This window comes from Homo sapiens, chromosome 12 (genome assembly GCF_000001405.40).
Source record: "Homo sapiens chromosome 12, GRCh38.p14 Primary Assembly".
Lineage (NCBI taxonomy): Eukaryota > Metazoa > Chordata > Mammalia > Primates > Hominidae > Homo > Homo sapiens.
The window spans coordinates 27,585,856-27,597,858 of record NC_000012.12 but is presented as its reverse complement, the minus strand read 5'-3'; the positions used below and the strand labels follow the sequence as shown (position 1 = coordinate 27,597,858).

At 41.8% G+C, this 12,003-nt stretch overlaps 1 protein-coding gene and 1 pseudogene across 49 annotated transcripts in view, besides 1 other annotated feature; one reads left to right on the top strand and one right to left on the bottom strand.

Moving 5' to 3' along the window:
- PPFIBP1 (PPFIB scaffold protein 1) overlaps positions 1 to 12,003 on the bottom strand; it is a 171,359-nt gene that overhangs the window by 97,706 nt on the left and 61,650 nt on the right. The gene's annotated exons all lie outside the window — the stretch shown is intronic.
- C12orf71BP (chromosome 12 open reading frame 71B, pseudogene) lies at positions 3,741 to 5,516 on the top strand (annotated as a pseudogene).
- Positions 4,972 to 5,031: a silencer, noted in NCBI's record as "silent region_4312". NCBI's record gives its function as "represses an Ori minimal core promoter by ATAC-STARR-seq in GM12878 lymphoblastoid cells {active_cell/tissue: GM12878}" and the evidence as "EXISTENCE:reporter gene assay evidence [ECO:0000049][PMID:35858748]".

Here is a 12,003-nt window from a genome sequence, read left to right as displayed (position 1 = left end):
CACTCCAGCCAGGGCAGCAAGAGCAAAACTCCATCTCAAAAATAAATAAATAAATACATAAATAAATAAATAAAATTTAAAGTTTTCTCTGAGGCTGCCTCCCTTTGAAGCTCTTCTATCCTCGGGATCACTCTAAACTTTGGTGGTTTACGCTGGGAAATCATTTTTTTCTTAAATGTTTATATTCAGTTCAAAGTGCTCCATTTCCATGAGTAATGACAAAACATAGTTTCTCCTCCGCCTCTACTCCAGCAGCATGGAGAAGAAGCTACTTATGAATTGTTTTTTAGGCCCCCAGAGTTCTGGAAGGCAGTCACCAACTTTTTATGAACAGCTAGAGAGACGACTCCAGATCCCATTATGCCAAAGAGAAAGCTGAATGCTTATTTTAAATCTCATTTTGGTGGCCGGTCGCGGTGGCTCACGCCTGTAATCCCAACACTTTGGGGAGCCGAGGTGGGTGGATCACGAGGTCAGGGGTTCGGGACCAGCCTCACCAACATGGTGAAACCCCGTCTCTACTAAAAATACAAAAATTAGCTGGGCGCCTGTAATCCCAGCTACTCAGGAGGCTGAGGCAGGATAATTGCTTGAACCCGGGAGGCGGAGGTTGCAGTGAGCCGAGATCGTGCCACTGCACTCCAGCCTGGGCGACAGAACGAGACTCTGTCTCAAAAATAAATAAATAAATAATAAATAAATAAATCTCATTTTGGCCTGCCCCAAATATGGACACCATTGTTAGCCAGTCCTGTATACCATATGTACCCCTTGCAAGTACTTTTAGAACATGCGGTTCCCCTCAACGGATTTTCTTCCAAGAAACCAGAACATGGGTTTATTTCGGCCTGGATCAATTCCCCCAGGAATCTTCCAGGGAGGAGGTGGGTGGTCAGCCTCCTGAGACAAGAGTGTGTAGAGGTTAGGATATGGGCTCTGAAGCCAGACTACCTATGTTTGAATCTGGCTATGTTTGAATCTAGGTTCTGGGTTTATGATCAGGGAATGTGAGAGAGTTATACAACCATTCATGCCTTGGTTCCTCTTTCTATTGAATGGGGCATATGATGATACTTAACTGATTGAGTTGCTGTGAGGATTAAAAAATGACACATATAAAGTGCTTAGTACAAGATCTGGCATATAATAAGTGTTAAATAAGTGCTAGGGAAAACTAGCCAGGCATGGTGATATACACCTGTAGTCTTAGCTACCTGGGAGGCTGAGGAAGTTTGCTTGAGGCCAGGAGTTTGAGGCTGCAGTGAGTTATGATGGCATCATTGTACTCCAGCCTGGGCAACAGAGTGAGACCCTGTCTCTAAAAATAAAAAATAATAATAAAACAAAATAAAATAAATGCTGGGGAACATGTTACTTCTGACTTAAACAGCCTCCAGGATTAATCCAGGTCCACAATCACTCAGGGAAGTTGTGGGCAGTCTGTGGGTACCTGCCAGGCTGCATCTATTGGGTAGTAGAATCTGCTTCTTTCTAACTATAACTCTGCCTATTTCTTCTATCATGTCATCAGAATTCCTTAAACATCTTATTTAACAGAACAAACGAATTTAAGCCAGTTCTACAGTGAAAAAAGTGAGACTGAGTCATGGCAAACTTTAACTGTAATCTTGTTAAGCAGAAATGGAGACAAATATTTGGAAAAGATCTTTAGAAATTGATAGATTCCAATGCGTTGAGGTTCTTTTAGGTCAGATAAGTGTTTCTTGGCTTTTTGCCATTTGTAAGCATATGTGTGTGTGTGTGTGTGTGTGTGTGTGTGTGTGTGTATTTATACCCATGCCCCTTATTTAGAGCTCTAAATCTCCTAAGGACGGGAACCATCTTAGCCACCTGACAAGAGAGAAGTAACCTCCATGCATTCGTCCTTCTACCCTCAAGAGGAATCCTCTTCAATCCGGGATGGTATGGGCATAAAATATATATATATATATATATATATATATATATATATTTTGTTGTTGTTGTTGTTGTTGTTGTTGTTGTTGATCAGAGTGTCGCTGTTGTTGCCCAGGCTGGAGTGCAATGGCGCTATCTCCGCTCACCGCAACCTCTGCCTCCTGGGTTCAAGTGATTCTCCTGCCTCAGCCTCCTGAGTAGCTGGGATTACAGGCATGGGCCACCACACCCGGCTAATTTTGTATTTTTAGTAGAGATGGGGTTTCTCCATGTTGGTCAGGCTGGTCTCAAACTCCGGACCTCAGGTGATCCGCCCACCTCAGCCTCCCAAAGTGCTGGGATTATAAGCGTGAGCCACTGCGCCCGGCCTAGGGCACAGAATATTTTGGAAGCAAAAGGGATAATTCTGTGGCTTTCTATCCCCGTTTTTCCTTTTCTCTCTCCACATTCCTGGCTCTAATTCAGGTCTTTCTGTTGCCATGGTAACCAACAGTCTCAGAACACAGACTTCTGACAGCTGGACTTTTAGCCACTGAGACTCGGGATGTGAAGGATTTCTCACGTCTCCCCTTCTTGCCTCAGGAGTTAGCAGCACTTCTTCCATGTGGGCAGCCACCAGAGCAGGGTGTGACAGTCTTGCGTGCATGTGTGTGTGTGAGCACACGCATGTGTGTATGCGCGTGTGTGTGTTTGTGCGCGCGCGCGTGTGCACGCATTCTTCCAGCCCTACTTGCTTTCCGGGGCTTCACAGAAAAAGCTGGACTAAAAAGTGTCATCAGATGATGGGAGGATGGGCATCTAAACAGCAAAACCTTCCTGGAAAGTAATTTGGTATCAACCAGCAGAAGACTGTAATATATTTGTGATGTTTGGTCCATTAATCCTACACATAGAAAAATAAGGGTCATAGTCAAAGATTTATGGAAAAGCAGGTTTACTACAGATTTATTTAGTAAAACAATAACTACCACCTAATGGTCATTAATAAGAATTAACAATTGCAGAGTAACCATATATATGTTTGTTGTAGGCTATGCCATAAAATAATCTGTTTCAACTGATGTGATAGCCACATTCACATATATGGATATGTGGATATATTATATAAATGTACAGATATATATGTGTGTGTTTATATAAATAGAAAAGATAAGGAAGTCCATCAAAATGTTTTGATAGTTATTACCTTTAGAAGGTAGGACCATGGCATGTTTGTTTTTGTCTTCATACTTTTCTACATTTTTCCAATTTTATATAATGATCTTTTTCTTTTATGATACAAGATCTTAAAACTGTAATAGGACAAATGATGAGAGGTGGAGATGCTTAGTAGAGAGGATTATAACACAATGAAGTAAGTTTTGAAAGGCAGAGGGCTGCCTCTTCTGCCCTTCACTGGGAGATTATAAAAATAGGATAAGACTTCAATCTAAATGGGGTAGTTCTGAATAGAAAAGGGAATGGGGCTGGGCGTGGTGGCTCATTCCTGTAATCCCAGCATTTTGGGAGGCCAAGGTGGGTGGATCACCTGAGGTGAGGAGTTCAAAACCAGCCTGGGCAACATGGTGAAACCCCATCTCCACTAAAAATACAAAAATTAGCTGGGCATTGTGGCGGGTGCCTATAATCCCAGCTATTTGGGAGGCTGAGGCAGAAGAATCACTTGAACCCAGGAGGTGGAGGTTGCAGTGAGCCGAGATCACACCACTGCACTCCAGCCTGGATGACAGAGTGAGACTCCATCTCAAAAAAAAAAAAAAAAAAAAATAGAAAAGGGGATGGATAATGTTTTTGCTTAAGTACCATGATTCTCTTCTCCCCGGTCCCACCTACTTTTTCTTTTTTCTTCTTTTCTTTTTTTGAAGCTTCTCAAGTTGAGAGAGATTTGTGCCTTTGAACTCCATGGCATATTCATCCTCTAACAGCGACATAGAGGACGACAGCTCCAAATCCAATTCCAACCTGATCCTCTCTGTGGGCTATTTCCCCTGTGAGGACACCCCCTGTGAGGACACAACCTCCTGGGAAGACGCACCTTCCAAGGGTCCTTCCATCCACTTTCTCCCTCCCATCCAAGGGGCATGGGGGACTGAAAGGATAAGGAAACACATGAAGAGACAATACCAAATTCAGGACGAACCAGACAGTTTTGCAAACTGAACATCTTCCTGGCCTGGGACATGGACGTTGGCTCTGACAACACAGACTCAATAGCTAATAGGCTTCTAAATGGAGCCAACCTGTGGATAAACAAGTTCCCAAAAGAGAGGACAAAACTATCTGTCAGCAAACTGAATAATCTTGTGCAAGAGTTTCAGACATTTCTAGAAAATCTGAAAGACAATGAAGATGATGATGCTGTGTTTCCTGAAACTACTCAGATTTCCAGCTGTACGGCAGCTCCCCTCCAGAAATGGTTCAGGTCAGTCATCAAGAACATGATGCTTGTCAAGACCTGCCCAAGTGCAAGCCACCAGAAAATAAAGATGTTATGTAGTCTCCACAGACTCCTCTAAGGCTTAAGGAACATGAGCTGGCTGAGGTGAGCACAGAGATGCCTCATAGGATAGGAAGGGATAGGCCTGGGTTGAACCACAGAATCTTACGACCACTAGGAAGCAGGTCCCAAGGGGCCCGAAGTGATACCAGTGGGAGACAGACAACGAAGAAAGGAGTCAGGGTGGAGTTTTAGGGAAAAGACTGAGGAATGCTGAGGTAAACAAGAGGGTAGCAAGCAAGGAGAAGGACTAAAAACTGTATCTACATTGAAGCTTTGCATTGACACTTGGGCTTTTTTTTTTTTTTTTTTTTTGAGACATTCTTTCTCCGTTGCCCAGGCTGGAGTGCAGTGGTGTGATCTCGGCTCACTGCAACCTCTACTTCCCGTGCTCAAGTGATTCTCCTGCCTCAACCTCCTGAGTAGCTGGGATTATAGGCGTCTGCTACCCTAACTTTTGTATTTTTAGTAGAGACAGTGTTTCACCATGTTGGCCAGGCTTGTCTCGACCTCCTGACCTCAAGTGATCCACATGCCTCGGCCTCCCAAAGTGCTGATACTACAGGTGTGAGCCATCGCACCCAGCCTACTTGGGCTATTTTTGCTAAAAGGATGTGAGTTCCATAAATGAGTAAATGTTGACTTGGCTGCTGTCATGGTTACGCCTACCTAACATATTCTTTATTTTCTTGGCAGATGATAAGCCAGGCAACTGCCAGCCAAAGGACAAGTGCTCCAGAGATCTCAATCCTGTCAGAGCAGCCGGAGAAGGATGACACTCCTTCCCACACACAGGCCCAGTGCTGCCTGAACTTTGGGTGGGCCTTCAGCTGGCTGAGGCAGCATATCCTCTCCCCTCTGCTGAGGAGGTATCATCCTGTGAAAGCCACCAAGAGTCCCCGTCAGCCAGCACCAAGGAAACGATTCTTTCACAGAGGCAAGAGAATTCAACCTCAAGAAACCCTTGAATTAGGACATCCTATATAGACAGATTTTTCAACTTTTTGGAAAGTTGAAAATAATCCATAAGATAGGATTCCACTGATAATCCCCAATAGTTTATTTTTTCCTCAATAAACAAAATAAACGTTCTTGTTACCCATGTCTTCCTCTTCCAGCACACCATCTTGACTCACATTGAAAGCATATGTGCTGTTCTTTTTTGAAGCTTCTCAAGTTGACAGATTTGTGCCTTTGAACTCCATTGCATATTCATCCTCTAACAGTGACAGAAAGGACGACAGCTCCAAATCCAATTCCAACCTGAGCCTCTCTGCGGGCTATTTCCCGTGTGAGGACACCCCCTGTGAGGACACAACCTCCTGGGAAGATGCACTTCCAAGGGAAGAAATTCTTTCTCAGGAAATTTTAAGTAGTATTATGCTTCCTAAACTGAAGTATTCTTTTTCTCTCCTCTCACCCATTCTTACTGTATTTTACTCTAGTTAACCCAAATCCCCATTTTCAGTAGGTAGCAGCGTGACCCATCACATTCCTGCGGTGGCAGGATGATTTGGCTTGAACTTGCAGGGCTTGAGTGAGTGGCAGTAGGTATTGAGTCACTGAGGAAATTAATTTCAATTTCAGAGATCAGACAGCAGTTCTGATATTCCCCAGGTACCTGACAGGTTCTAGCATGTGTTGCCTTGGCTGTAGTAGTGGCCCACTTAGGAGCAATGTGACGACTGTGAACACTTCTTAACCACTCTAAGTCTAGCTGTCTTCATTCAAAAGAAGTGGAAGATAATAATACATACCTCACAGGGTTAGTGTGAGAGTTTATGAGGTAACACAAGCACTTGATAAATATTATTACTGTTGTTGCAAGTAGACATTCTCCTGAGGAACTCTCCAGACAACTTGTTCAAGGGATATCCAAGAGTGAGAGTTAATTAAGAGTCAATTCTCATTGAAACATTTCCCACACAGAGCAGTATTTACCAAAAGTTCAGGGTTTTCAGTAAATCTTAACCAAGTCCTCTCCCAATCCATTCCATTCTGCCCTCTGAAACTCCTTTGCAATTGTCATTGAACGTTCCACTGAATGTCAACTTCTTTGAGGAAGGTGCCCTCAGCCTTCTTGTCCTGACTCTCACCTTCCCAGCATCTCTACCATCCTCCTCATTCAATCACAGGTTCACTCAACGTCCTCCTTCTTCTGCTGGCACTACCATCCTGTGTGACCTTCAGAGTTTATGTGGCAAAGCATATGACTCTTCAGTTTCAAATTCCTTCCTTTCCTCAATTTCAATTCCCTTATCCCTCTCCTTCCTCTCTTCTTTCTTCCTTCTACAAATATTTAGCAAATAGGAGTGTCAGATACCTTTCTAGCTTGTCAAAAAAAAAAAAGTCTTGATCTTTAGGCTCAATTGCCTTATTTAAGAGATAAAATCAGGCAAATATATGACTATAAAGACTATGAGTGATAATATTCTGTAGTGGGTAAACATTGAGTTCTAATGAAGTAATAATCCATTCAGCAAGGGGAGGTTGGTTGTAAAAGGCTTCCTGTTCCCCAACTTCTAACTGCTTCCCTCTAGATCTAACCCATATACCTCCTACCCAAACTTGGCATGTCTACCACATCTAGTAACATCTGCCATGCCTTGCCTTTCTCTTCTCCCAGATATTTTTTAAAATCTATACTCATCAAGTTCCCGAAGGGGACACACTTGCTTCTCACTGGGGCCAATACACAAAACCATAGGGATTTCCCTCCCCATTTCCTGACTGCCTGGGAAACTCATCCTTAAAGAACCTGCTCTAGGGTTACTACTGGGCAATATTGATCCCTCAGGCAAAGGGATCATGACCCTCCTTTAGCTGTCCCCTAGTCCCTGCTCTGCCACCTTCTTGCCATGATTTGTACTTTTCAGCCCTCTTTATAGATCCATTTTACCTGTAGACTGTGAGATCTAAAGGCAACCACCAGGTCTTAGTTCCTTTATATTGCAAATCCTAACACAGTGGGCTGCGCGCAGTGGCTCACGCCTGTAATCTCAGCACTTTGGGAGGCCGAGGTGGGTAGATCACTTGAGGTCAGGAGTTTGAGACCAGCCTGGGCAACATGGTAAAACCCTGTCTGTACTAAAAATACAAAAATTAGCCAGGTATGGTGGCAGGGGCCTGTAATCCCAGCTACTCGGGAGGCTGAGGCCGGAGGATCATTTGGACCCAGGAGGCAGAGGGTGCAGTGAGAAGAGATGGCACCACTGCACTCCAGCCCGGGCAATGGGGCGAGACTCCATCTCAAAAAAAACAAAAAAAACAAAATCCTAACACAGCATTTAGTAGAAAGTAATCTATCTCTCTGACTCTATGTAATTCTTTAAATGTTTTTAATGTATCCTGTCTATATAATTTTAAAAAAGTGAAATACAACAGCTTAAAGAGTTGCTATTCTTTAAGTCAAAAAAGACTGGTCAGTAGGGTCAAGAACAGGAGTGAAAAGGGAGGCAGACAAGAAGAGAACATAGCCATCAAGTAGACGTCAAGTGAGATGGCAACCTATCAACTGAGAAATCTATTAGGACCAAGGAATTCAGAAACTAAATTGAAAATTTAATTCAACAAATATGCAAGGAGCCTTACTGTTGCTTTAGACTAGACACTATGATAGGCCTGAAAGAAAGATGACATATCTTACTCTCAAAAGACTTGCAACCAGTTTTATTATTTTAATTCTTACTCTCGCAATTAAGCTCTAGGACGAACTCAACCAAAATACTTTAGAAGACTGTCTACACTGAATAAGATGCACTGTTCTTTAGTAAGATTTCTGACATACTTGTGTTTATTCATCAGTGTTTCATAAACCTGCTTGGCAGGTATGAACCTGTCCCTAAAATATAAGCAGTGTGCTTTGCAAGTCTTTACAGTAAAGTAAGCTTTCCATACCCTCTGAGGTTGGGTGTCATGCTATATATTAGAAAGCAGGACGAAGTATTTTAAAATAGGAAATATCTCAGTATCTCTTAATTATAGTGTCAAATACATTATGGGCCAGGTGCCGTGGCTCATGCCTATAACCTCAGCACTTTGGAAGGCCGAGGCGCAAGGATCGCTTGAGCCTGGGACTTTGAGACCAGAAAATTCACGGCTCAAGAGGATGCACGGATCCAAGTCTAACTGGCCACAAGAATAGAGTCTAAAATCCTCTTACAAAACAAAAGAAAAATGAAGCAAGTTATAGACGATTTCCTAGAGAGTGCTAAAGTCCTTACACCAACAATAAAGAACAATTTTGAAGGAACAGTTAATTGCTTCAAAAATATGTCTCCTCATTATATATTGCAAGTGGGAGAACTTATATAGCATGCAGGACAACCTCCAATTTCAAGATGGACGGGTGGGTTTTATATTGCATTACCTGGAGTCGATCTTTTCCTGCTACCTACTAATACCTCAAACAAATAGAACAACGCTGTGCTTTCAGAAGTGAAATAAGACCTTCATCAGATAACATTCACTGAGGGAGCCAGTCATGAGCACAATTGGTAAAAAGCCTCAGGATAAATTCCCCCAAAGGATTATTAGTCTAGATCAAGAAGTACCAAGACAAAACAATTTCCGCTTTATTCCACCTTTCAAAGGAATTCCATGGCTTTAATGCCCATTTGATTTCAATATAATATGCTTTATAAGGAACTACTTCTAAGACATTTTCAAATGGTATGGTAAACATCACAGCTTTTCAGATTGTGGCACTGAAAGAAAATTCATCTCATTGCTACTGAATTCTCTCAGTCCAAAAGAAAATAAATAGCAATTTATTTAGTTTTTCCTCACCTGCAGCAATAAAGATTATTTTAAGTACAAATCTTTAAAATAAAGAGCTCTCACCCTAGGGTACAGGTTTCCTGCATACCCACTCAGAAAGGAAAAGAAAACCCTTCAAACATCTTCATAGTTAATGTGTGTTTGGATAGTTGTTTTCAAGTTTCACTTTCATCGATCCTTCTGTCATGCGTCTTTTGGGCCAAGATTTTCCCCAAGCAGGACATGGGATGGAAAGGAGAATTTTTCTTCAGTAAAATGACTTTAGAGATCAAGTTAGTACCATATTGCAACCAGCAACTTAATAATTGATTCATAATAGATGAATCATAAAATAGATGCTAAAACCATTGGGTGAATCACTGTCAGGGAAAAAAACATGCACATGCTCTCTAAGATTACCCCACAGGTGCATTCTTAGTTATCAAGAGGATTAGGCACCTTTACAATGGAAAGGTCTGGTCAACACCAACTTAGCCAAGTGATTAAACTCAGCCTAGCTAATATCATGCACCTTCTGAAGAGAAGCAATGTACACTTGCTAGCAATGTTTAATTTGAATCTAATTATGAGGACACCAACAGTTAGATGAATCTAGACTATACGATATTTTACCACACAACTGTCTTTGACTTTTAAAACATGTTAACATCATGAAACACAAAATAAGGAAACACAAAAAAGACAGGGAGACAAGAGAGTTCATAAAAGAGATGAAAGAAACATGACAACCAATTGCTATTTGTGATTTTTGATGGAATCTTTGATCAAAACCAAAAGCAAAACAAAAACTATAGTAAAGGATATTTTGGTTTTGAATGTGGACTAGGTTCTTAGGAAATTTAGGCTGAAATATTTAAGGGTAGAAGTGTCATGATATCTGCAACTTACTTTCAAGTAGTCCAGGAAAAAAAAGACAGAGAGAAAACAAAGATGGGGAAAATATAAAGAAAAGCTCTAGTAAATAAGTAGTATAGATCTCTATTAAAGTATTAAATCTGTTACACTTGTATGACAGTAATATCTTTTTTTTTTTTTTTTTTTTTGAGATGGAGTCTTGCTCTGTCCCCGAGGCTGGGGTGCAGTGGTGCGATCTTGGCTCACTGCAAGCTCCGCCTCCCGGGTTCAAGCCATTCTCCTGCCTCAGCCTCCCGAGTAGCTGGGACTACAGGCGCCCGCCACCACGCCCAGCTAATTTTTTTGTATTTTTAGTAGAGACGGGGTTTCACCATGTTAGCCAGGATGGTCTCGATCTCCTGACCTCCGTGATCCGCCCGCCTCGGCCTCCCAAAGTGCTGGGATTACAGACGTGAGCCACTGCGCCTGGCCAACAGTAATATCTTATGAGATTATATATATTTAAAACATTAAAACATTTACTCTAAATAAAACTTAGATATTAATTTGACTTCTCAAGTGATGTAAACTGGACAATTCTTTAATCTGGACTCCTTCATTCATTCTCGCACCTGCCTTTGGGTTCACAGCTGGCTGCAAAGAATTTTCAGTCTCATAGATTGGTAAATATTCATCCTTCAAGTCCTAACTGTAAAAAGGCAAATTGGTTCAGTTGAAAGCAGACTAGCATCTAGGTATTTTTACAGAACACGTAAGATTTCAGGAGTTTATCTAGCTTTTGTTGAGATTAAAAAGAATAATTTTTGCCGAATGCGGAGATAGGTCCTCTGCCGTTTGAAATTTTTGCAAGTTTCAAAGCCTGAATATCTGATTTCTACCTTCAAAATACCATCTTTTAAATTTTTTGTTTCTCACAAATCAAGAACAGCCTGACACTTACAATACTAAGAATTTCTTCAAATTGGACATTTTCTTTTATTTTGAGCCATGACAGATTGTTCTGCTTCTTCCTACCTAACAAGAAGAACAGGCATAGTCACTATATAATGCATTGTGCATTCTGGGGGACTTCTGAGGGTGAAAGAGGGTGCTCTTATAGGCTTTTTTTTTTCTTGAGACAGAGTCTCACTTTTTCGCCCAGGCTGGGGTGCAGTGGCATGATCTCTGCTCACTGCAACCTCTGCCTCCTGGGTTCAAGTGATTCTCATGCCTCAGTGTCCCAAGTAGCTGGGACTATAGGCGTACACAACCACACAGGCTAACTCTAATATTTTTAGCAGAGACAGGGTTTCACCATGTTGGCCAGATTGGTTGTGAATTCCTGGCCTCAAGTGATCTGCCCACCTTGGCCTCCCAAGGGCTGGGATTACAAGCCTGAGCTGCCATGCCTGCCCTATATAGTCTTTATTAACATTTTTAAGCATGCATCTCTTACATGATTAAAGCCATAGATCCTCTCTTAAACTAATGCACATATTCATATATACTGACCACTTGGCAAATAATTTAAAAAGTTCAAAGACTCTCCGAATCCTATTCTTCCATCCCAGGTTAAAAACCCAGGTTCTTAAGTTTGACTTCCTGGCTTCAATTCCCAGTCCACCACTTATTTGCTGTGGATCCTGGGGAAGTTACTTAACTTCTCTGTGCTGTTTCCTCATCTACAAACTGCAACACTAACAGTATTAGCCTCAAAGGGCTGTGGTAAGAATTCGTACCTGGCACATAACAAGTGCTTACAAATTTTAGCTGCTGCTAGTTGCTGACACACAATTCCTCTATTTTAAAATCTGCTATTGTTCCTAATGACTACAGAATAAAGTCCAAGCAAACTACCATTGAATCTCTCTATAATCGGATCCTGAGGCAATTTTCTAGTCTTATTTCACAATACTCCCCCACTGCCCCTCACACTCCAGAACCTTTATGTTACTTGTTCCTTGTACCTTCGTGCT